The sequence below is a fragment of the Homo sapiens genome, chromosome 16 (genome assembly GCF_000001405.40).
Source record: "Homo sapiens chromosome 16, GRCh38.p14 Primary Assembly".
In the NCBI taxonomy this organism is placed as follows: domain Eukaryota; kingdom Metazoa; phylum Chordata; class Mammalia; order Primates; family Hominidae; genus Homo; species Homo sapiens.
This window is the reverse complement of record NC_000016.10, coordinates 63,728,699-63,755,921: the sequence shown is the minus strand read 5'-3', so window position 1 is coordinate 63,755,921 and position 27,223 is coordinate 63,728,699. Positions and strand designations below refer to the sequence as shown.

At 36.0% G+C, this 27,223-nt stretch overlaps 1 long non-coding RNA gene across 3 annotated transcripts, besides 1 other annotated feature; it reads right to left on the bottom strand.

The window, feature by feature from the left end:
- Positions 1 to 25,685, bottom strand: LINC02165 (long intergenic non-protein coding RNA 2165). Of its 3 annotated transcripts, none has more exons than XR_933668.3 (4): positions 25,610 to 25,685; positions 25,272 to 25,446; positions 24,433 to 24,512; positions 1 to 1,316 (listed from the first exon to the last, which is right to left on the bottom strand). It is a non-coding gene; the product is annotated as a long intergenic non-protein coding RNA 2165 (long non-coding RNA). The 3 variants fall into 3 exon arrangements; XR_243458.5 differs by lacking the exon at positions 1 to 1,316 and adding an exon at positions 23,947 to 24,139; XR_933667.3 differs by lacking the exon at positions 1 to 1,316 and having other exon boundaries at positions 21,551 to 24,512.
- Positions 1,510 to 1,710: a silencer, noted in NCBI's record as "peak2614 fragment used in MPRA reporter construct". NCBI's record gives its function as "represses an SCP1 promoter by STARR-seq MPRAs in K562 erythroleukemia cells {active_cell/tissue: K562}" and the evidence as "EXISTENCE:reporter gene assay evidence [ECO:0000049][PMID:32103011]".
- Positions 25,686 to 27,223: the final 1,538 nt, after the last annotated feature.

Sequence of the window (27,223 nt, the reverse complement as noted above, 5' to 3'; positions counted from 1 at the left end):
TCATGAAATATGTATAAAAACAAAAGCAAACTCAAACCAAAAAATCTCAATTTTAATTCCATACCAAACATTTTGACTTTTGGTTGTCTCTATTTACATTTTTTAATATTGCCTATCTTTTAAAAGGTTGCTGTAGCTACCATTGTTTTTAACAGATTTGTCTTTTAGGCTTTAAATTAGTGTTATAATTGGATTGCACACCACAATTACAGTAATACAGTATTCTGGGGTTGCTTTTGTACTTAATATTACCAGTGAGTTTTATACCTTCAAATGCTTCATTTTTTGCATATTATTGTTTATTTGTTTTTTTTAATTTCATATTGAAGACTTTTTAAAGATTTTTTTATAAGATGGGTCAGGTGGTGGTGAATTGTCACTGTTTTTGTTTGTCTAGAAAAGACTTTATATCTCCTTCATATCTGAAGGATAGCTTTGTTCTATTCTCAAATGGCAGTTTTTTCTTTCAGCACTTTAAAAATGTTTTACTCCCTCCTGGCCCATAGGATTTTCACTGAGAAGTCTGTTGGCAGAGGAATTAAAGCTCCTTTATATGTTATTTGCAACTATTCTTTTGTGCTTTTAGGTTCCTAATTTGTCTTTGACCTTTGAGAGTTTGATTATTATTTATCTTGGGGTAGTCTTATTTGCATCAAATATGTTTGGCATTCTCTGATTTTCCTGTAACTGTATATTTCTATCTTTCTCATGTTTGGGAATTTTTTGTTATTATTTCTTTGAGTAACTTTTCCACCTCTTTCTCTTGTTCAACTCCCGGTAGAACACCAGTAGTTCTTAGATTTTTTTGAGATAATTTTCTGTATCTTGCAGGAGATTATCATTTCTTCTCTTTCTTTTTTTTTTTCTCTAACAGTGTAATATCAAATAGCCTGTGTTTAAGCGCCCTGATTCTTTCCTTTGCTTATTCCATTCTTCTGTTCAGAGCCTCCAATGAGTTTTTCAGTTTAGCAAATTCATTTTTGATTCCTAAGATGTCTATTTGATTTTTAAAAATTATTTCAATTTATTTGTTAAATTACTTTCATAAATTTGTGAATTGCTATGCACTGCATATTCTTAAAACTTCTATTTTAAATTCTTGGTCAGAGAACTCACATATTGCTATCTTGCTATGGTCAGTGACTTTTTTTTTTTGGGTGGGGGAGGTTATGGTTCCTAGTGGGCTGTTGTTTCTCATGATGTAGGTCTGTGTCTTTGCACTGAAGCGCTAGTTATATATTCCAGTCCTCTCTGTCTGGTTTGAATTTTTTCCTTCAATACGTTAGAGGTGTATTTAGCTAACATTGAAGATGCACCTGGAAAGAAAAACACACAAATTACAGTAACACTTGTAATCTATGCTTTTTCCAAAGGGGTTTTTGTGAACTTCAATATTTAAATGGGAAAGAGCAAGCAGGAGGGGAAAAAAAGATAGGGAGGGTAGGCAGTGAGTTAAATGGTTACATTCTCATGAAGCTCTAATTAGTGTATGTAAATCCACATTTTACATGTGAAAAGAGAGAGTAGAGAAAAAAAATCAATTATGCACTGTCTCACACTTAGTATATCTACATTTTATATAAGATAAAGTAAACATATGAAAAGAAAAAGTAAAGAAGAAGTAAAGGAGATGAGGCTATGACATGTGGTTGTAAAATTACAGCTGTCTGGGAAAAAAAAGAAGACAGCTTTGATGACTCAGTTCCCAAGCTTAACTTTCCCTTTGGCATAGTGAGTTTCATGTCCCAAGATTTTATTTTTTTTTCTAATTTTCCCCCATTCTTCAAAATCTTTCAGAGAAAACATTGCAGAAGAAATATATATATATATATGTATATAGTCTTTATGCTTCTTCTCTTTTGAGATCCTGTTTTGGGTAATTTTTTTTTTTTTTTTTTTTTTTTTGAGACAGAGTCTTGCTCTGTCACCCAGGCTGGAGTGCAGAGGCGTGATCTCGGCTCACTGCAAGCTCCACCTCCCAGGTTCATGCCATTCTCCTGCCTCAGCCTCCCGAGTATCTAGGACTACAGGCGCTCGCCACCATGCCCGGCAAATTTTTTGTATTTTTAGTAGAGATGGGGTTTCACCTTGTTAGCCAGGATGGTCTTGATCTCTTGACCTCATCATCCGCCTGCCTGGGCCTCCCAAAGTGCTGGGATTACAGATGTGAGCCACCACACCCGGCAGCTAAAACATTTTTAAACAATTATGTACTTGGCACGTCTGTTTACTTCCTTTCTTAAAATTGTTCTATTTATTTTTAATCCACCTTATTCCTCCTTTCTGCTATCTTTAGTTTCTTTTGCATTGCATTGCATTGCAGCTAGCCTCAGGGATATGTCCTTACAGTCAGGTACACTGTGAAAGCATTTTATCCTGTGGCATTTTCCTCTTTGGAGGAACCCAAGATTTGATGTAAAAATAGGACCCTTGATTTTTGGGGGATCTGTGTTCTGCCTTCCAGCTGTGCTTTCTTCTCACGTATTTAAATATTAGGCCCTAAAATCTACATGTTTCCTTCCCATATTCACCACAGGGCTCCACCAAGAAGCTGGTATTCTAATTAAGAAACAAGCTAAGTTTGAGCACCAAAATATAAATTTCTATCATTTAGCTGACTCCCCTCAAACACTTTTGTACAAAAAATTTACATCTTTATAAAGGTTTCCACTTGGAAGGGTGTCTGCCTGTGTATGTTAGAAACTCATAGCATTGTTTTAAATTTGTAAGTAATACCTTTGTTTAAGGTACTTTTCCTGGACATCTCAACTGAACTTTTACTTATACCACTGTTTTTCCTTGGTTTGAGCAAATGGCAGTACAATATTTAGGCCTAATATTTTGATTCTGTGCTTTGAGACATAAATGTTCTACCTTGCATCACTTACGAGTTGTCCCTTTAGAAATTCAAATTCAGGCTTGCCTAGGGAGCAATTATTTGGGACGGAAAACAGAAAATCAAGAGATAGGGAGTCTAAAGTGTAGGACAGAAACTAAAAACTGGCAAATGAAGAATCTTATAATCTGTAAGATATGCTTCTATTTGCCTCTATGTCTATATATTTATATGTGCCTCATGTATGTGATGTTGCAGTACCAAAAGATATGAGCTGTAATTAATTGGCTTAAAATAAAAGGAAGCACTCAAATCAAATATTTTATCAAAAATATAAAAGCTAGCTCAAATGCCTTTTAGTTCATGGAATTATAGTAATCTTTGGTTAATGAGACAGTTTTAAAATTATTGGTAAGATAAATTATAAAAGACTTCAAAATTTAATTTAGACATTTGGTCTGAATTAGGCAGGTCAGATTTTGTCTGCTGGATGGTTTAATTTTATAAACTACTTCTGTGATATTTTTGATAATTGTTTAACTTGTCTGTATTAGAGCCATTAGATTCTAGGCTGTAAAACAAATGGCCATGACAAGGCCTAGTGACATGTGGAGCTCTCCTGGGCCTAACTCTTCCTCCTGGCTATGCTGGGAAGGGTCAGCCCTTATCTGCAGCTCTGCCCTTTGTCCCAGACTCTGCATCTGATTCATAATTAAAATTTCTTACTTCCTAGTTCTTTCACTAAATATAAGTTAACATTATAACAAATGTATGTAATTAAAACAACTACATATAAGATACAAAATTCTTCATGCAAAATATATAAGGAAAGTAAGATGTGTTTTTAGTTAAAAAAAAAAAAAACATAGTAAGGCAGCATGGGAATGTGGTTTTTGTTAAAGTATAGTAAATTTGCCTAGAGTTTTTTTGTTTTTTTTTTTAAACTAAAGGAGTAAAAAAATGATAGATAAAATTATATGAATATAAAAAGTTAGAAAAAAAGTATATTTATATATAGGCAAGATGATCTCTGAGTATAAGGAGAGGTTATAGCCACCTGCAATAAACTTTCACCTTCTGCTACCAAGTCCCAAAATGAAACACAAAACCAGCTCCTTACCTGAAGATAGAATCATTATTTAAAAAATATTAGCTTCACACAGTCACCCAAATTTTTATTTTATTTGAGATAGTATTGAATTTAGCAAAGATTAATTACTATTTGTATAGTTATAAGGATGCTAGTTATTAGAGTTGTTACTGAAATTCAGCAGTGTATGGATATTTTTCAACTGAATCATTCTATCTTCCAACTTCTCTATGAAGAAGAAATATGGTCACATTAGCTACTTAATGTGCCATACCTAAATATTTGATGAAACAATGGAAAATTTATATGTTTTCAAAAATGAAATGGAATAATGATTTTAATTGAATCTTCAGAAATAAACTATTTTATTTATCTGAGCATGTAAAATGTCAGATTGGAAATTTCTAACCAACTTATTTTTTAATGGAATTAGCCGGATTTTGAAAAAAAAAGTCCTCTAGAAAATATGAAGTATTATCTTGATTTTTCAAGTAATAATGTATAAAATAGTCTTGCTATGACCTTTAATTATTTGGGGGTTATTTATCAAACACAAAATGTCATTCCAGTGATTAGATAATACTGTCAAAGTAATAATTACTTAGGCAGAAATTTGTATGGCAAATTATATAATAGCGTGTTTCTTAGTCCGTTTGTGTTGCTATAAAGGAAGGCCTGAGGGTGGGTAATTTATAAAGAAAAGAGGTTTATTTGGCTCATAGTTCTGCAGGCTGTACAGGAAGCATGGTGCTGGTAGCTGGTGAGGGCCTCAAGGTGCTTCCACGCACGGTGGAAAGGAAAGGGGAGCTGGCATGTGCAGAGATCACATGGCAAGACAGGAAACAAGAAAGAGAGAGAGGAGGGAAGCGCTAGGCTCCTTTAAACAACCAGCTCTCACAGAAACTATGAGGATGCTATGGGGTTGACACTAAGAAATTCATGAGGGATCCACCCCCTTGACCCAACCACCTCTCATTAAGGCCCACCTGCAACACTGAGAATCAAATTTCAACATGAGGTTTGGAGGGTCAAATGTTCAAACTCTAGCAATCATGAAGTAGGTATTTCCGTGTACATAATAAGAAAGCCCTGCATTTTGGGAAGAATTGAATGCAGGAGCAAAGAAACAAGCTAGTAAACACAAGGTGTGAAGATGGAATAGTTAAAAGAACAGGTTAGAATTGCCATTATGGTATGAGAAATGACTGGAAGCCAGATGTAAGATGTATCAGTACAGAAGACATTGGGGTTTTAAAGACTCAATTTATACATAACTGTAGGAAGTAAAAATCAGGGTTTGACAAGATGAGAATGAGAAAATACAATAGGATTTCAAATTTTGTCATCTATCTACTTAGTATCCTTGTCTGGCTATCTTAAGAACTATGCGTGTTACAGTAGATAGCTAGTTGGACATGAGGAAGGCCGAAGCCTCAGCCCCCCAATCAGGAATGTCAGGAAACCATCAGGTGATAGTCAGGCAGTTGTTATACTGTCTGTCTAAAACAATAACTGGTCGCAAACAGCATCAGGGAAAAGCAGTCTCCCAATAGCTAGAAAAAAACAGAAACGGGGGATCAGCAGCTTCCCAATAAAATCTCAGGAATTAGGTGAGTGGACTCAAGCATGGGCATTAAGAGGAACAATGGTGGAGTTTAACTGGTATATGACCTTCTGGGAACATTTGGCTGGTAAGGGAAGAATGCCTCAAGTGAGCATGCATACAACTCTAGGAAACACACTGCACATGTGGCCCCTCTCAGGTGCTGGAAAGCCGCTGTGCATGCAGACAGCTTACCCCAAAGGAAGATTCAGGGGAGGAGAGAGGCAGACTCCGGAAGAATACCAACATAGAAAACTCCAAGTAAAACGTCAAACTGCATATGTCAGTCTCTCAAGTCACACACTTGGCCCTCTTCCAAGTGTATTTTACTTCCTTTCATTCCTGCCCTAAAACATTTTAATAAACTTTCACTCCTGCTCTACAACTTGCCTCAGTCTCTCACTCTGCCTTATGTTCCCTTGGTCAAATTCTTTCGTCCGAGGAGGCAAGAATTGAGGTTGTTGCTGAGGAGAGACAAGAATTGGGTTGACCCATAGGAATTCACCTCTGGTAACATGTGCAGATGCCTTTTCTTTAGATGAGATAAGATTTTGCCTGCAACCCCTACATGTTATGGAAAATTCTAACACCTGCATGCAATTGATTTAATGGGATTTTGCTGATACTTAGCCATAAAGCTTCCCAACAGGAAAGCTACTTTCCTGGAATGGTATACATTCCTGAAGTCTTGGCTCAAGCTTACACTACTTTTTACAATCAGAAGAATTACTGTCAGAAATACCCCAGAAATACTGTCAGAAATACTGACTATACCCCAAGAAGTGTTGCTAAAATTTGAAGTTTATTGCTTCACATCAGTCTATATGGTTTCCTTCCTAAGTTTTAATTACCTCTTGGCTTCATTTGAAGTGTTCCTCATACTGACTAATCAGAACTTCTGTACTGCTCATTTCCTGTCCTTATACACTTTCCATACCCCTTGCCTTTTTCACATATGGTTTGGCTCATTTTGATTTGTCTTTTGGTGAGAGACTCTTTTTTTTTTTTCAATAAAAGTCTTTCCTTCTCCTCTTTGCCCATATGTAAGTGATGTCATGCCTATAAACCCCAACCTGTGCTTGAGTTGCTGTAATCAGCTTCCTTCATAACAGAGGACTGTCTTTCTGAAACTAAAGCTCCAGAGGGACTTTTCTACTACTGAGGCTGAGACTGTTTGTTTTATTACACCCTTTCTGTTCTTTTCCATTTTCTACCTAGCCATGCAGCAAGACTATATTTTTGTGCTCTCCTTGCAGTGAGTTGTGATGTTGTAACTGAATTCTGGCCAGTAGAATATAGGCAAAAATGGCTCTTAAACAACAGCACAACAACAACAGCAACAACACATTCCATAATCCTTCATGATCTTTCTCCCACTGTGCTGACCTAATGCAGGGAAGCTATTGGAGGATGCCAAATCTCTTGGTGATGTCAGATTTACCAGATACAAGATGTAGGGGTCCTTGCTGACTTGAATTGCACCCTGAAAGTGGAAGAGAAATAAATTTCCCCAGTATTATGGCACTGAGCTTTTAGGTTTGCTACCAACAGTTATCTCTGTGAATTATATAGCTGAGCACTACTCGGCCAATAGCCTGGAGCTAGACCTGAAGTTGCTGGCAGACCCTGCACAACTCACTGAACTTGGCTGAACCTTAGCTTCATTAGCTGAAAAATAAGAAGAAATAAAGAAAGATAACATTTACTCTTTCAGCTTATGGTGATGTTATACACTGAATGTTTGTGTCACTTTAACCTACTGTCCCCTCTACTCCATGGTATTTGGAAGAAGGGCTTTTGGGAAAAAATTTACATGAAGATGAGGCAATGATGATGGCATTAGTGGACATATAAGAAGAAGAAGAGAGAGGCCAGATCTTTATTTTTTCTCCACAATATGAGAACACAGGAAGAAGGCAGCCATCTAAAAGCCAGGAAGAGAATTCTCACCAGGAATCAAATCAGCCAGTACCTTAATCTTAGACTCCAAACTTCCCAGACTCTACAACTGAGAAACAAACGTCTGTTGTTTAAGCCATCCAGTCTATGGTAGTTTGATATGGCAACCTGAACTAAGATGAGAAATAAATAATAGACCATTACTAATAATATTTACCACAAGGCCTAGAACACAGTAGATTAGTAAATGTTACTTTCCTTTATTCATTCTGCTTTCCTGGTTAAATATTCCAAGTCAAGTATTTTATTACACATTTTCCTGAAATAAGAGTCAAAAATATTTACTTTATTTTTCTTTAAAATTTAACAGTTTACCAAGCCACATAATTTACACTCTAGTGATTATATTTTTTCTCATTCCTTGCCACTGCCCTGTGGCTTTTTATTTTTAATTTTGAAAGTAGACTCGGTAGTAAAATCAATGGAAAAAAATTTTAAATATCTCTTAACTTAGTCGCTCATGAATAATAAAAGTATTTTATAGTCGGCATTATAATTTTTATCAAGAAACTACTTTATTAACCATTCTACATAATCTGCATTGAAAAAACTATTTCAGGATAACATGGGATGGTGGCTGCTATCACTCTGGCTTTCTTGATCCACCTGAACTCTTAAAGATGGGAAGGTTTCAAGAGTAGACATGCAGATTAAATTTGGCTAAGTATAGTCTTTGCACTGGAAAAAAAATTGTTACTGCCTTTTTACTTTTTATTCCATTAGACTGTGAGTAACTTGTAGATGAGCGCTATTCTTTACAAGTTTGTCAAAAGAATGAATAAGTGATAGACAGACATATACATTTATACTTTGTTTCCTGTTTCTCTGGCTCCCATGTAACTGCATTTTTTAAAAATGCTAATAAACTTTATTTTTTAGAAAAATTTTAGATGTACAGAAAAATTATGAAGATAGCAAAGGAAGTTTCCAAAACTCTAAATCCAGTTTACCCTATCATTGAGATCTTCAATTATTATGGTGTACTTCCCCATAGTACAGTATTGATTAATAAATCAATACTGATACATTGTTATTAAACAAAACCCACCCTTTATCTAAATTTTCTCAGTTTTTCCCTGTTGTCCTTTATGTGTTCCAAAATTCCATCTAGGATATCACACTACATTTAGTAATCATCTCACCTTAGGCTCATCTTCACTGTAACAGTTTACCAGGCTTTCCTTGTTTTTGATGATCTTAATTTTAGGGAGTACTGGTCAGGTTATTTTATGGAATGTTCATTAAATTGGGTTTGTCTGATGCATTTGCTGTGATGAGATTGCGATTATGGGTTATTGAGAGGAAGACGACAGAGGTTGTCATTTCATCACATCATGTTGATGATGCATACTAACAACCTTTGTTATCACCACTGATGTTAAACTTGCTCACATGGCTGAGATAATGTCTGTCAGATTTCTCCTTTTTAAAGTTACTACTTTCTCTCTCTTTCCATACTGTATTCTTGTAAAAGAAGACACTCTGTATAGCACAAACCTGAGTGGGGAATTATGCTCTATCCCCTTTAGGGCAGATTATCTACATAAATTATCTATATTCTGCATGTGACATTTGTCTTTTTTGCCTCATTTATTTATAATGAATTATTATTCATCACTTATCTGTATATATGGGTTCATAAATATTGCTTTACTACTTTGGGCTATTATTCTATCCTACTGTATTTGTTTTGTTGCCTAAATTGTTCCAGCTTTGGCCATCTGAATGCTTTTTCATTTGAATCTTAAGTGACTTTGTTATACCTCCCCCCTTGTGTTTTGTGGGTTTTTTTGGGGTTTTTGTTTGTTTGTTTTTGTTTTTTGTTTTTTTTTTATTCTTTATTGAGACGGAGTCTCGCTCTGTCGCCCAGGCTGGAGTGCAATGGCGCGATCTCGGCTCACTGCAAGCTCCGCCTCCCGGGTTCACGCCATTCTCCTGCCTCAGCCTCCCAAGTAGCTGGGACTAGAGGTGCCCGCCGCCACGCCCAGCTAATTTTTTGTATTTTTAGTAGAGACGGGGTTTCACCGTATTAGCCAGGATGGTCTCGATCTCCTGACCTCGTGATCCGCCCGCCTCGGCCTCCCAAAGTGCTGGGATTACAGGCTTGAGCCACCGTGCCCGGCCTGTTTTTAGTACTTCTTTACATTTGTCACTACAAAATGCTATAGGCTCAACTTGTATATTTCCTGTTCCCCAGTCCTAGAATTAGTAATTTTTTTTTTATAGATAGTTAGCTAGCTATTATGTGGTTGCTTTATAGTGTCAATGGTCTATGTACTTAAGTGTGTTTTTGTGGTGGCTGGTAAAGGTCTTTCCTTTCCATATTTAGCACTCCCTTCAGGACCTTTTATAAGGCAGGTTTGGTAGACAAGTATTTGCTTGTCTGAAAAGTATCATATTTTTTCCCTTTGGTTATATAGCTTAGTTTGTCTGGATATGAAATTCTTGGTTGGAGTTTCTTTTCTTTAAGAATCCTGAATACACACCCTCAGTCTCTTCTGGCTTAAAGGGTTTCTGTTGAGCCTGGTGGGAATACGTTTTAACTGATCTTGGCCCTTCTCTCTAACCGCCTTTAATATTTGTTTTTTCATGTCCACACTGGAGAATCCGATGACTATGTATCTTGGGGATGGTCGCGTGCTATAAGTATGTGGTAGGGATTCTCTCCATTTACTGAATATGAATGTTGGCCTCTCTAGCAAGGTTGGGGAAATTTTCATGGACAGTCTCTTCAAATATATTTTTCAAGTAGCTTGCTCTCTCTCACTCTCTCTCTCGGATGCCAATGAGTCATAGGTTTGGTCTCTTTACATAATCTCATTTTTCTCAGAGGCTTTGTTCATTTTGCTTTATTCTTTATTTCTGTCTGACTGAGTTATTTCAGAAAATCAGTTTTTGAGCTCTGAAATTCTTTCATCAGCTTGGTTGATTCTGCAGTTAATACTTGTGATTGTATTATGAAATTATTGAAATGAGTTTTTTAGCTCTATCCGATCAGTTTGGCTCTTTCTTAAAATGGCCATTTCATCTTTCATCTCCTGTATCATTTTACTAGATTACTTAGATTACTTGGATTGGATTTTTACTTTTTCCTGATTCTCAATCCTATCCATATTCTAAATTCTATTTGTGTCATTTCAGCCATTTGAGCCTGGTTAAGAACTATTGATTTGAAACTAGTGTGATCATTTGGAGATGAGAAGAAACTCTGGCTTTTTGAGTTGTCAGCGTTCTTACAATGGTTCTTTCTCAGCTGTGTGGGCTGATGTTCCTTTAATCTTTAAAGCTGCTGTACTTGGATAGGGTTTTTTGCTTTTATGTTCTTTGATGCCCTTGGGTGTTTGATGGTGGTACAAGGTGTTTTCAGTTGACTGGCTTCATTTCTGGAAGACTGTAGAGGGATAAGACTCAGCTCAGCACTTCCAGGCTGCATGCTGTAACTCTGGTGGTTTGTATTGAGCTCCTGGTTTTGTTCTCTGACTCCTTGAATTTAGGAACCTGGTGCACTGAAGGGGCTGAGGTATTCCCAGTTGGCTGGCCACAACACTCTGAATGATGTTGATGGCTCACTTTGTTGGGGCAGTGGCAGCAGGATTTGTGCTCGCTTGCACATGCCAGCAGTCGCAGCAGTGTGTCACTGTTCACATGTGTTGTCTTGGGTCAGATACCATTAGTAGCGGGGCTGTGACATTCCTGCACTTGCTCACATGAGCAGAGACAGAGCATTGGCAGGAGTGAGGTGGCTGGTGTTTGTGCTTGCACTTGTACCAGTAGCAGCAGCAGCAGCAGCAGGGTCAGGGCACTGGTGGGTGCGAGGCTACCAGCCTCCATGCGTGTATTTGCACTAGTGGCAGTGCTGGTGCAGGGCGGGTGGGGCCACTGGCATCCTTACACGCATTCACCCTGGTAGCTGTGGCTGTGTGGGGAAGGAGAGGTGATGGGATTGCCAGAGTCTATGCACATATTGGCACTTGCAATTGAGGTGTGGTCTGGTGCCTGTGTGTCAGTGGGGAGAGAGAAGACGGTTTGTTGTGCTTATGCCAGCAGCAAGCAGTGGCACAATGCAGTGCATGGGCACATATACACTGGAGGGGGAAGGTACGCTAGGTCAGCCTGTGCCATCCACCAGCAACGTGATGGGGTATGGCTGCGGTCAAGTACATGCCAGCAAGCAGGTGTGGGGGAGGCTGAGGTGGTGGGAGGATGTGGGTGGGCTGGTGTGCATTGGTGGGGGTCCCTCTACTGCAGCTCTCCAGTGGTCAAGTGCGGTCTGCTGGCAAAAGAGCTATGATGAAGGTCCCTGGGAACAGCCTGTTTGACCATCTGAGGCTGTGCTACAAGCAGGCGTAACTAGGCTAGGGCCCTAGGAGAAGCCAGCAGACTGGGAGGCACTCTGATTGGACTGGCCCTATCTCATGGGCAAGACTGCTCTGCTCTCTGTCCAGGTCTGATTCATGCTAAGGCTAAAGTCTTCTAGAGGAGGATGGTGAGCCTTGGGTACTTGTTATTCCAGGCTGTGCTCCACAACAGACATTCCTACACCAAACTCTCTGGGCTCCATGCAGACTGAAGTCCTGTCCTTGCCACCTCTCTAAGCAGCTTTCCTTGTGAGCTCAAGTATCCATGGGGGTCATGGGGTCTCCTGCTGCCAGCATTCTAGAGGTCTGTGGCAACAGTGAGTCACTCCTTACCTGTTCTACTCACCCCTTCCCAGGAGTCACTGGGGGCCACGAACAAGTACTGGTGCTTGTTAGTCCCATGCGGTGTTCCCAGTTTCTTTCCCCTTTAGCCTGGCATCTGTGTCCTCCCTCCACCCATTCTCAATGTCTTCCCTCCAAAGAACTGCTTGGAGTGTGTCAGTCTTCCTGATGTCCCAGTCTCTCAATGGCAGATGTTCCTCCTGCTGTGTCTCGTTGGTCATCTTGGCTCCCAAAAAGCTCAGCAATTTTTCTAGGGAGGCCTTGCCTGTTCCTTTTGTTTAGTAGCAGTATTAGAAACCAAGATCAGGGTGCTGGATGAATTCATTGCTACTGAGGTGTTGTTGCTTCTAGACTCTCTCAGTTGAAAGAACAAGAAAATAGATGTGTGTATACACATGTCTATATTTATACATAAAATCTTCTTTATCCATTTTGATCCAAACATTATTTCATCTTCGTGTCCTCAACTCTAATCCCTATATAATTGTTATAATCATTATAGGCACTTCCACTTACTTATCCCTAAACTCCAACTCCAATGATGGGAAGCCTGGCTACCAGTATGTATTATTTATGTACTTAAGTGTTCCATTACATAATTCTTTTATTTAATTATCTGAATTGTTAAACCTACCTCTATGAGAACTGACTATATCAGCTAGAATACAGTGCTTTTTTATAGTTTTTATTTTCATAGTTGTTTTAGTTTTATAGATTCCTCTCATTTCCGAAGTTTCTTAGGTCACATTTTTCTCTGGCCTTTTCAGTGAGGTTGTTCCATATATTTGTAATCCAGTAGACTGTTTTGCTATTGTCTCCTTACCACATAGGATTCTCCAGACCTTCTAGATTATATTATTTGTAACTTTCCTGCATTAGGGTTCATTCTTTGTGCTGTACCATGCTCTGTGTTTTAACAAATGCCTAATGCCATTTGTCCACAATTTCAGTATCAGAGGAAATAGCTTCACCATCCTAAAAATTGCTGGGTGATTAAACTCTTCAGTCCTCTCCTCTTACTGATCTGTTCGTTGCTTGTTTATTGCTTTTTATAGAATGTCATATCATTAGAATCATGCACTATACAGTCTTTTCAGGCTTGCTTCTTTGGACTAGCAATGGATATTTAAGCTTCATCCCTGTCTTTTGTGGTTAGATAGCTCATTTCAGCTTATTGCTGAATACTCTTCTATTGCATAGATGCACCATATTTAGTTCACCCATTTACCTATTGAAGTTTATCTTGATTGCTTATTACTTCTTACAAACTTTTTGGCAATTATGGGTAAACTGATATAGACATTCATGTGTAGGTATTGGTGTGCACATAGTTTTTAATTTTTTTTTTTTTTTTTGGTAAATAGCTAGGAATTATATTGCTGAGTCATATGTTAAGACTATATTTAGTTTTGTAAGAAATGGCCATACAGGCTTTCAAAGTGGTAATATCATTTTGCATTCCCACCAGCAATGAATAAGAGATTTTGTTGTACAGCATCCTCATCAGAAATTAGTATGGCCAGTGTATTTGGATGATCAAGATTTTTGTTGTGGTTGTGGTTGTTGTTTTGATATTGTCATCATCTTAAGGTCAATTTTTAAAAACAATTCTAATAAGTATGTAGTTGTATCAATTTATTATTTTAATTTACAATCCCCTAACAACATATGATGTTGAACATCTTTTCATTTGATTGTCATGTCCATATCTTCTTTCTTTTATGAGGTGTTCATATCTTTTGATCACTTTTAGTCAGATTGTTTGTTTCCTTATTTATTTTAAGGGATCTTTTTTTAAGTAAAGTGGTGCATATTTTGCATACACATCCTTTATTAAAAACATGTTTTGCAAAAATTTTCCTCTCAGTTTGTGGCTTATTTTTAAGTCTTCTTAACAGTGTTTTTCTTATAGCAGAAGTTTTCATTTTAATAAAGTGTAACATCAGTTTTTTCTTCTTTCATTGATTATACTTTCAGTGTTGTGTCTAAAATGTCCCTATTATATCCCAAGTCACCTATTCTCCTGTCTTTTATTCTAGAAGTTTTACATTTAATGGTTAAGTCTATTATTCATTTCAGATTACTTTTTGTGAAAGGTATAAGGTCAGTGTCTAGATTTGTTTTTTTGAATATAGATGTCTAATTGTTCCAACATCATTGATTTTTTTTAAAAAACTATCCTTTTTTCATAAAATCGGCTTTGCTTCTTTGTCAAAGATGAGTCAGCTATATTTGTGCAATTCTATTCCTGGACTCTATTTTATTACCTTGATTGATGTCTCCATTTGTCAATACCATCATCTTCATTATTTTTGCTTTATATTTAGTCTTCACGCCAGGAAGTGTTAGTTCTCTAACTCTTGTTTTTTCTGCAGTATTGTGTTGCTTATCCTAGGCCGTCTGATATTTCACATACTCTTTAGAATCAGTTGTCAGTACATACAAAATAGAATATTAGGATTTTGATTGGGATGGTGTTAAATCTATAAATCAAATTTCGTTCAGTTTACATCTTAACAATATTAAATCTTTGAATACATAAAAATGAAATATCTCTAATTTATTTGGAACTACTTTGGTTTCTTTAATCAGAACTATGTAGTTTTCTGCACATAAGTAATGCACACAATTTGTTAGCTTTATACCAGTATTTTTTAATCTGGTGTTATTGTAAATGGTATTATCATTATTTTTACTTCAAATTCTGATTTCTGTGCTGATACAAAAAAAATAAGTTTTTCTATATTAACTATAGAAAATATTCAGTGGCCTTGCTATGCTTGCTTATTGTTTACAGAAGTCATTCTGATAACTCATCTGCGGTTTTCCAAATCTTACTTTTGATTCTGTTTACTTTTTCCTTCCCTTCTTTTGTATTTGAACCGTCCGAAATGTTCAGTACAATACTGAACTGAATTGGTGAGATAACTTTCTTGCCTTTTCCCTGTCCTGTTCAGTCTCGTAGCATTTAGTATAATGTTAGTTTTGTTTAATTTTTATTCATTTGTTTGTTTGTTTCTTGGTAAATGTTCTTTGTTAAATCAGGAATGTTTGCCTTTATTATTAATTTTCTGAGACTTTTAAAAATATATTATTGTCAGATGTCTTTTTAAAAAACAATTGATGTAATCATATAAATTATCCTCCATTATCCTGTTCACATAGTTCATTGCAATGATTAATCTATGAATTCTCAACCGGCCTTGCATACCCAGAATAAATCCCACTTGTTGGAGGTATATAATTCTTTTTTTATTTTGTGTAACTTGATTTGCTTATATTTCACTGACAATTTTTTGCATCCAAGTTCATGAGAGGTATAGATATGTATATTTCCTTTCTTATAATGCCTTTGTCTTGTTTCAGTATCAGGATAATGCTGGTCTCATACATTGATTTAAGAAGTTGTCTCTCTGTTTCTATTTTCTGGACAACTTTGTGGAGAATTGGGGTTATTTCTTCAATAAATGTTTGGTAGAATTCACCAGTGAAACGATCTGGGTAGGGGGCTTTATTTTTTGGAAGGTTATAAATTATTCATTGAATTTTTTAAATAGACATAGGCCTATTCAGATTATATATTTATCCACATTCGAGTTTTGTGTTTTATGTCTTTTAAGAAACTGGTCAATTTTATTTAAATAATAAAATTTAAAGTCACAGAGTTTTTTGTAACATTCCATTGTTATTCCTTTAATATCCATAGGGCCATTAATGATTCATCCCCATCTCAGTTCTGATGTTTGTAACTTGTATATTCTCTTTTTTATTCTTGGTTAGCCAAGTTTACATTTATCGATTTTATTTATTTGTTCAAAGAATCAACTTTTGGGTTTGTCTATTTCTTTTACTGTTTTCTGTTCATTAATATCTTTTATTTCTGCTCTAACTTTTATTGTTTTCTGCATGTTTTAGGTCTAGTTTTTGCTAGTTTTCTAAAGTGAAAACTTTTACATTATTTATTTGAGATCTTTATTCTTGTCTAATATATGCACTGGATGCAATAAATTTCCCTCTAACCTCTAATATTGTTATATCTCACAAATTTTGATAAGTTGTAAATTCATTTTGATTTAATTCAATATATATTAATACCTCATATATATATCTCAGTGTATTATATAATGTGAAAATTGTATATAATATATTAACATATCTTAAGTCTTTTTTGTTATGTATGTTCTTTAGAAGTTTTTTTTAATCTCCAGATGTTTAGGAAACTTCTAGTTATCTTTCTCTTTTTGATTTTTAGTTTAATTCCATTGTAGTCTAAGAACATACTTTGTATAACTTCTTTCTTTTAAGTTTGTTAACGTGTGTCTTATTTGCCATAATATGTTCTATGATGCTGAATATTACCTGAGAAGTTTGGGAGAAATGTGTATTGTGTTATTGCTGAATAGAATATCCCAACAAATGTTCATTAGATTAAGTTGATTGATAGTGCCTGACAAGCCAACTATTCCCTTAATGATTTTCTGCCTTCCTATTATATCAATTACTGAAAGAGGCATGGTGAAGTCTTCAACTATAATACTGTATTTGTCTATTAATCCTCACAATTCTATCAGTTTTCATCTGACATAGTTTATCACAATTCTATCAGTTTTCATCTCACATATTTTAATATTCTGTTGTTAGGTGTGTACACCTTTAGGATTGTAGGTGCATACCTACACCTAGGATTCTAATGACTTTTTGGAGAACTGAACTTTTTGGAGAATTGAATTATTATATTAATGCCATATTTATCCCTGACAATTTTCCATGTCCTGAGATTTGCTTTGTGTGCAACTAATACAGATACTCCAGCTTTGTTAGATCAGTGTTAGTATGAAATATCTTTCTTTATCCCCTTACACTTAACATATATAAATATTTGTACTTAAATTAGTTTCTTGAAAACACCATATATTTGGCTTTCTCATTCACCTTGACTGTCTTTTAATTAGAATTTTATATTATCTATATAATAAGTGATTATTGACATATTTGGATTAATATCTATATTTTTAACTATTTCTTATTTGTTACAATTCTTTGTTTCTTTCCAGCCCTCAACTTTTAATGTCATCTCTGCTTCTGATTATTTTATATGATTCTATTTAATCTAATTTCTTAGCATACCAAGATATTTTCTTTTTATTTTTAGTCATTACCCTAGAGTTTACAATATACATTTTTAACTAAGCCTATCTTCATATGAAACTGTAACTCTTCACATGAAAAAATATATTTTATTCTTCTTTCATCTATTATTTTCAGATGCTTCTTCTATATTTATGTAGATTTAAGTTTCAGTTTTTTTATTTAAATCATCCCTAAAGAACTTTTTGAAAATTTTTTTGCAGGACAGTTCTACTGGCAAGGAGTTCCCTCAGTTTTTGTTTGTCATAGAAAGGCTCTATTTTCCCTTCACTTTTGAAGGATAATTTTATTGGGATAGAATTCTAGGTTGGAGGGTTGTTTTTCTCACAAAACTTTAAATATTTAATTCTACTCTTTTCTTGCTGGCACAGCTTCTGAAAACACATTCAGCGTAATGGCTATTTCTTTAATTCTATAGGTAAATAAAAGGTTTATTCCCTGTCTTCTGTCACAATATTATCTTTGTCTTGGGTTTCTATAGTTTGCATATGATACAACTCTTTTTTTTTTTAAATCCTTCTTGGTGTTTTCTGAGCTTACTGAATCTATAGTTTCATGTTTGTCATTCATTTTGAAAAATTCAGTCATTATTACTTCAAGTATTTCTTCTGTTGTGTTCTTTTGTTTCCTGCTTCTGCTATTCCAATTGCATGTCTGTTAGACATTTTGAAATTATCCCACTGTTCTTGGGTGTCTGCTCTTTTTTTTAACTGCATGTTGGAAGGTTTCTACTGGATTATCTCAAGCTCTCTGATTCATCTCTCTGTCATGCATTCTACTGATAAATCTATGAAAGTTCTCATTTCCATGTTTTGTTCTGATTTTTAGGTTTTCTTTGAAACTTTATTATACTTTCCATCTCTCTGAATGCCTACTGTTACTTCTTATCCCTAGTTCTTTGTTTACACTGTATATTCAATTTTTTGCTTTAATGCAGCTCTTTTTTACATATTTGTCACCCACCTATTATGCCAAACAATGTACCAGGTACTAAGGGTATGGAGAACATGATCTATGCACATCTCACTCTAATATAATTTGTTTCTCTGTGTGTGTGTGTGTGTGTGTGTGTGTATGCACACACACACACACACAAGCACTGTGTAGTGGAGTTGGAAGATGTAAAGACAAAAAATGATAACCATATGAATGCAAGCTTATGTCAGAAAATAATATACGTTAGGAAGAAATTGTATCATGTTGGTCTGTTACTGAGGGAGTCTTGTGAAAGGGTACTTTATAATGTGTAATCATTCAAGAATATCATTGTGAGGAGATGACTTTAAGCTGAAATAAAATTGTTTAGAAGAATCCAATCATTTGAAGAATCGAGGTAAAACATTCCAAGCAGAGGAAAGAATGAGCCTGATCTATTTAAAAAGCAGAAAAAATACCCATGTGAGTTGCTAGAACACAGCAAATGCAGTGAAGTATGGTATATAAGATGGGATTTTCAGAGTGTACTGGACGAAGATAAAATAGGGACTTGGAAATAAGGTGACTGCATTTTTATCATATGTAGAAAGGCAGTAACTGGGAAGGTTTAATTATGTGTGTGGGGAGGCTGAAGTTTTCTTAACTGATTCACATATTTCTTATCACTAATAAAAGAAACATTCTCCCATCTGCTACCTCTTAGGTTAGATGCCTACATTTGCCTCCATAAAAATATGAACTTTGCTGGGCGCAGTGGCTCACGCCTGTGATCCCAACATTTTGGGAGGCCAAGGTGGGTGGATTACCTGAGGTCAGGAGCTCGAGACTAGCATGGCCAACATGGTGAAACCCTGTCTCTAATAAAAATACAAAAAGTAGGCAGGCATGGTGGTGGGTGTCTGTAATCCCAGTTACTCGGGAGGCCGAAGCAGGAGAATCCCTAGAACCCTGGAGGTGGAGGTTACGGTGAGCAGAGATTGTGCCATTGCACTCCAGCCTGGGCAACAAGCATACGACTCTGTCTCAAAAACAAAACAAAACAAAACATAAAAAGCAAACAAAAAACTGTAAGATAAGTTTATTCTTTCTCTCCGAATCTCTAAAACTGGCCCAGTGCTTGCATACTAAGTGATACTCAATAAATGCCTATTCTTTCATTTAAATAAGTAGATCTACTTAATTATATTGACAGATTTCTTACTCTAATAAAAGATGAAGGAGACATAAAAGTGATTTGTTCATTCATATCCTGAGATGATGGAGGATATGCCACCATAGTTTGCATACCTTGTTCAGTGCTAGCTATCAGCATGAACAGGTGAGCTGACTCTTTCCTTAGGAATATTATCCATGGTTTTCTCTAAAGCCACCTACTACTCTCTGCCTAGTAGGTCTGAGATTTCAAGGAAATGGATTTTGTGAGAATCACTTATTATCAGAGGCAAAAAGTAAATTAAAGGTTATTTAATCCAGTTCTCCACAGCAGTTTGAAGTTGCCTAACACTAACCCAATTTGGTGATTTTACATTCTATCATAAGGGAGTTTGCTGTCTCCTAAGACAGCCAATACTATTTCTAATGTGAGTTCTTGGCAGTTAGAAGTAGCCATATATGGGCCTCCTAAAAAAATTAGAAAAGAACTCATGCTAGTATTAAGTAACTTTAAATTTGAGAATAATTTCCTTATAATGAGCCTAATTTATTGTTGAATTATAATTTGCATCTTATTCCTGTCTACGGTGGACATAAAGTTCAAGTCCAATCTGTAGCTACTCTGCACATACTATTTTATGAAGATTTCTATTTCTTTCCATAGAATTCTAGTGAATGACTCATGGACACTCTTCAATATGGGACACCACGAAAATAATATAGTTATCTTAATGAGCTTGTGCAATCTTCAGATGTTCTAGAAATTTTTGTGCCTTTAAGAAGGTTGAAGTTCCTGCCTGGTTTTTGAAAGAATAACTAATGCTGGATTGAAGTAATGATTGTGCAATCATTGTGGTGACATTAAAAACAACAATGACCTTGGAGCCAGACACACCTAGTTGAAGTTCTGAAGCTACACCTTATTAATTCTGCAAGTGAGATCAAGGGACTTATTCTTTCAGAACTTCATGGACAATATGAAAAATGAAGACTTGTTTATCTGGCCATTTGTAGGAGCAATAGATACTAACATGGTTTTAAAATTGTAATATTCACACACAAACTATTATGTCATCATTGTTACCTTTGTCAACATTATCATTATCTTTTGTGGTCGTTGATTTCTCATGAAGCACCGAAGTGAAGAAGACTTTTGAAAATAGTAAAGTGACCATGAAGTAGTAAAAGGGGCATTGAAAAGGTGGTGTAAATTATAGGATGTAATTAATGAGTTAAATACATATACTACCTCCTTCATGGTTTGCCAAAATACACAACAACCCCCATGTAGTCCTTTTTTGGTTATAAGCACCTTACCATCTCTTGATCTGTTATTTTTTCACCCAGTGTGTGGTATGAGGCAAAACTAAAATATTTGTTTTCCTTGACAATCCTGAGGATGAGCAAGAATAATATTTTGCTTACTTTAAGAATGTGGAGGCTGGGCGCGGTGGCTCATGCTTGTAATCCCAGCACTCTGGGAGGCTGGGGCAGGTGGATAATGATGTCCGGAGATGGAGACCATCCTGGCTAACACAGTGAAACCCCATCTCTACTAAAAATACAAAAAATTAGCCAGGCATGGTGGCACGCACCTGTAGTCCCAGCTACTCAAGAGGCTGAGGCAGGAGAAAGGCTTGAACCTGGGAGGCGGATGTTGCAGTGAGCTGAGATTGCGCCACTAAACTCCAGCCTGGCAACAGAGCGAGACTCAGTCTCAAAACAAACAAACAAACAAACAAACAAACAAACAAAAAAAACTGTAAACTGGGGTTTTAGAATCTAGAAAATAAATATGAAGTCCCAAATTTTGTTTTAAAGATGAGCTGGAATCCAATTCAAAAATACAGAGAATTTATTGTCACGCTTGTGCCAAAGCTCCTGTCCCTATACAACATGGCTTCTTGCCAAATGTAGGTCACTTGATGCTCCATTTAATCCCATCAGTTTGTGAATATGTCAGTTTCTTACAGTACAAAACAGCTAGAAACTCATGGGTAAGATTGTCTATGTGCTACTGACACACTCAAAGTCCCCTAGGTTTCAATAACCCTTTTTCATCCTGAGGGCAGAGTAATGCAATCATAACAGTTAAGCAGGGAACATATCTATCCCAACCTGAAAAAAAACAGTGAATTCTGGTTTAAATGTTTATTGCACAGAATAAATGTTTGGACACATTCTAATTACATAAAGAATGTCACATTGCTCTAATAAGCTGTCATTCCACTCTGGTTTTAGATATATAGTTTAAAAAGTGAAAGGGTGAACCACCTACAACCCACGGGTGCTTAGTTTCTCTAGCCATTGTTTTGGTAGTGGTGATAAGCTTTTGGACTCCCATAGGGAATACAGACATAGTTTGGTTCAGTAGCATTATCAGGAATGCTAAAAGGAATACTCCTTCAAAGGAGAGAGATTTCTTATACATCTGTATGTGCACATGTATCATGTACTAATAGTGCATAATAATTCCACTACAGAGTATGGCTTCCATTTAGAGAGTAGAAAGAAGATTTGGGTCTGATTCTCTGCCAACTAGTGACCATTTCATGAACTGGAAGGCACGAAGGGGCCACAGAAACTCTGGAAGAAGAAGAGGCTACACTAACTTTTACCAGTCCCTTAAAGGTCATCTATTAATCTTAAAAGAAGAAAAACAAAACAAAACATTCTTTTCTTCCTAGAAACATTGTCTGGCAATGTGCCTATGGTTTTACCATTAGCATGGCAAAATCATGATTTTGCTTTGGGAAAAGCAATGTTGCATACTGCTGGAAAGGTCATTTGGCTTTTGCCTCCAAGAGACATGAGTTTTGTGGCCAAGTGCTCCAGCTCAGGGCATTGTATAGTCATACTAAAGCATCTTAGAGTTCTCATGCATCACTTCAAAATCTTCTTAGTCGTTCATAGTTTCTGTGACAACTGATTTAAGTAGGCCTTGACTAGTTTCCTGGAGGAGCAACTTGAACAGCACATTGTCTTGGTCCATGTTGTAACTATTTCTGTTTCATACTCTGGGGATTCATTTGATGTGTAAAGATGGGACTGTCATAGTAAAAGTCTCTGCAAGCATTCATGTGCAACCTGGAAGTGCGGGCTCATGGACCCACCCTTGGCCAATGGGAACAAAATCTGATAGAAATTTTCCCCCTATTATCCCCAAGGCAGCAAATTTTGACATATATTTCATAAAGCTCTGCAAAAATTCCCAGTGGGACTGGTCACTAGTTATTCACACTAGCGGCCAACTTGATCATCTATCCTTGTATTGGCTTTTATTCCTTCTCTGTGTCACTTACCTGCCCTGTATTCCTATTCCCTGGTATCATATTACCAAATAAATCACCTTCACATAAACATTTTTCTCAGGCCCCAGAAGAAGACACTTGCTTTAAGTCTTTGTTCCTTGAAGTATGGTCTGTGTAACATCAGTATTGGCATCACCTGGGAGCCTGTTAGACGGACAAGCCTTAAGGAGTATCCTGGACCTAGGGAATTTCAACCTACATTTCAGCAAGATCTTAGGTGCTCATTAAAACCTGGTAACTTTGCCTTAAAATTCAAATATCATAGCAGTTTCTATCAGATGACAAATTCAAATGCATCAGAGGCCAGACAAATTATTTAAACAAGTTAAGTTGACTGATTGTCAGACAACAGAGAATATTGGAGTCTTCAAATTGGAAAGCATACCTACTGTGCTATTTAAAGGGTGAAGCCACCACATGAGCATTGAAAACTGGAACCATACAGTAACACAAGTCCCACTTCTTGCAAAATGTTCTAGAGACACAGCAAATAGAAGCTATAAGCACTTTGTGGGCCCAACAAAGACACCTAGAGGTTGTATATAACTTAAAGTCTCCTACATGGCCTCCTTCTCTCTAGACATTTAAGCTATTGTACTTATGAGGCACCAGCAAGTGAAGGGACACTAGAAATGGACAATCCAGGAATTTTGTAAAGGTATCTTTCTAAATCTCAACTTTCTTCCATTTTAAACTTACTAATTCCTTCTACCTCCATATGCTCACTTGTCAAATCCATTGTCATGTATTTCTCAGATTTCTCTCCATGCTCTTGAAGGCACAATCTGGCCTCTCAGTTTGATCTTATTCTATGGTCTTTACTCCATAAAGGAATCAACTGTCCCTTTCTCTTTCAACTTTGTTTGAGGGGATATGCTATCGTAGACCCCACTGGAATCAACTATGACAATCACCTCCTCAGACCTGCTAGGTTTTCTTGAAGGTCAGGAATTATTTGGATTTCCCAGAGAGTTGTTTTGCTTGCTATTGTTACCACTGTTGTTTATGATCATACACTCTGCACATTTTCCCATTTTTGAAATTGAACAAATTCAGTATTAGCCGTTATTTCTCAATAAATACAATGTTACTACATTAGAAGATATTCTAAAAACATGGTGACCATGTAGAAAAACAGCAACAAAAATGTTCCAATTCAAAAAATAAAATGTTCCTCCCCTTGGAAGGGAAAAAATAATCACTGTGCCAGGTTATCACTAAGGATCCTTTAATTTTTGACTTTTCATGATTTTCTCATTCACTGCAATTTATTCTTATCAGCAACTTACGAGGTTCCCTTGGATAGAAAAATGGCATGCACCACGGTAGGATTATTTCCTCTTCCCATTTGATTATGAATTTTGTTATCACAGTGTAAGCAAATTCTACACTAAGCCTTGTGATCTGAAGATGGATAATAAGAATCAGAAAATCAATACTTAGTAAAATAATTTAGCAAAAAAAAACAATAAATTTTTGTATTTGAAGATTCACTTAGTTGTTTGTCTCTCCTTATGAAATTACTTTTGTTCAAGGCCTACTGTGCAGAGAAGGCCTTAGGGAAATAAAGTGGCACATTTTTCATTGTCTTCAAATCTATTTTCTGCTTGAATGGAGTCAGCATTAAATTTAAAGCAAGAAAATCACTCGTTGATGGAAGTCTTAGCATACAAAGCATGGTAGAAAGTTCCACTCACTTCTGCTTGGTCACTCAAGGGCACATATCCTGACCACATAAACATCAGGGATGTGATTTAACACAGCTTGAACACCTAACCTGTACCACAAAAAGAGGAGATTCTTATTTTAAGAACAAGGAATATTGCTATTTTTCAGTAATCTGGTAGAACAAAGAGCCTCACCTTTTCTATGTGAGAGACCTGGCTTTAAATCTGTGCTCTTATACTTATTAGCCATGTGATCTTAGATAACACACTGAACGTCACTGAATATTTTGACTCCTATAATCCCTGGTATTTCTATTATATTAGCATTTGTTTGCACATATACAATTTTTATTGCAAAAAGATTAAGTAAAATCTTTTTCTAAATTTCCAGTATTATATTCTGTGCCCTCAGAGTCCATAACATGTCTGTTCTCACCCCATAATACTTTATCCTACACAAATACCCCTTGAATTTCTAGAGCTAGTAGTCTATTTATCAGATAGTGACCTACATAAATCCAGTGTCTGTTTTTTTACATATCCATTTCCCTAAATTAAAGGACCTCTGGAAATTAGTTGTTCCTTAATAATTATTGATTCTTCTCCTTCTTAGTCCATTTAAATATAATATAGTTGTCCCTTGGTATCCATGAGGGATTGATTTCAGGACACTTCATGGATATTATATTATGCAGATGCTACAGATCCTTATATAGAATGGAGTAGTAATTGCATATAACCTACACATATTCTTCTGTATACTTTAAATCATCACAAGATTACTTATAATACTAATGTAATGTAAATGCCATGTAAATAGTTGTCATACTACGTTGTTTAGGGGACAGTGACAAGGAATATGTGTTTACCTGTTCAGTACAGAAACAACCATTCTTTTAAACTTTTCAAACATTTTTTTATCCATGGCTGATTGAATCCACTGATGCAGAGTGCATGGCTATGGAGGGCCAACTGTATACAGTAGTACTGCCTTATCCATGGTTTTGTTTCCCATGATTTTAGTTTCCCCTGGTCAACTGTGATCTGAAAATATTAAATAAAAAATATCAGAAATAAACAATTTATACATTTTAAAGTGCACGTCATTCTGAGTAGCTTGATGGAATCTTACACTATCCAGCTCCATCCTGCCTGGGATGTGAATAATCTCTTTGTCCAATGTTTCCATGAGGCAGATGTGACTTACCCATTAGTGATTGACATCATCTGTTCCTGATATCCAACTATCAACATCTTCATGGCTCCATGATCCAGGATCATCTGAAGCAAAGGATCCTCCTTTGGCTGTATCCCCGGAAGGTCAATAGTAGCCTAATATTATGTCACAATGCCTGTATCATTCACCTCATTCATCTTATCGTCACAGGCACTTTATCATCTCACACCATCACAAGAAGAAGAAAAGAAAATATGACTAAATTATTTTGAAAGACCACATTTTCATGATGTTTATTACAGTATATTATTATAATTTTCTATTTTATTATTAGTTATTGCTGTTAATCTCTTGTTATGTCTAATTTATAAATTAAACTTTATCATGGTGCATATGTATAGGAAAAAGTAATATATATAGAATTTGGTACTATTCCTTGTTGCAGGCATCCAGTGGGGGTGTTAGAACATATCACCCATGGATAAAAGAGGACTACTATGTGTTCAGTAAATGTAGACAATTTCAAAGTAATATTATCTGCAGATTATATCTAGCTTTGGAGTTCTCTGCTTAAAAGAAAGGTGAGAGAAATAATTCAAAAAGTTGAACAGCATTTTATGTTAGAGAAAGAGCTGTAAACAAGCTAGTTGTTACTAAACAGTGTCTCAGGTTGATGGCTCAGTTTTTTTCTCCTTTTAACTGTGTTCATTTCTCAGAGTAATACGTGTTGCTGGAGGGACAGAAAGGTCATATGTAGCATGAGACATATGTCACCTCCTGTGTCATTACTAGGAGAGTTTACTTTGCCTTGTTTACCTCTTGACAAGCTCCTACTTATTTTCCAATTCTCACTCAAGTAAACTTGTTTCGAGGGTAAAATTCAGGGAGCAGTTCTAGAGGAAGTAAGAAGGCAGCATGGATGGTTTTCAAACAATTGTGCATGTGAAATTCTTTCCATGGGCGAATATTCAGCTTTGTATCCTGCTTTTGAGTGTAATTCATCCAGCTGAGTGACTGCATTGCAAAAATGAGGCCCAGGGAAATGCAATTTGTCTCTTTGCTTAACCCAATATTCTGGTTAACAAAGTTGTTTGATAAACAGTGAATGTTAAATTTTGATTAAGAAGAGAGGCAAATACAAGTAGAAGAGAGAATAACATGATTGAGATTTATTCACCAACTCAGCTAATATTTAATAAGCAATTATTTTATACCATACACATAATTGCTGGAATTTTGGTCCATGCTGTGATGACAAAAATTGTCTAGTTAAAAGAAGAAAGATAACTATGCCAATAATTAAAAATAATTATAAATTGGAAGAGTTGATATAAAGGAAATACATAAAGAATGTAATAACTAACGACATGAGGGAAAGGTAAGGAGAAGAAAGTTCATAGCAGGCCTCTTTGATGCAGTGAAATTTGAGTTCAGCCCTGAAAAATAAAATATTTCTGCTTTGATAAAAATGAAATAACAAGGACTACATTTACCTTTGACCTAAAATAACAACAAAAATCATAAAAAGCAAAATAGATATAGCAACGGTTTTTCATGACATGGGACATCAGGTAACAAAGGCATCAAAAACATCAGGCCTGAGAGATGGCAAACCAACTCAGCAAGTTCTACTATGAGCCTACC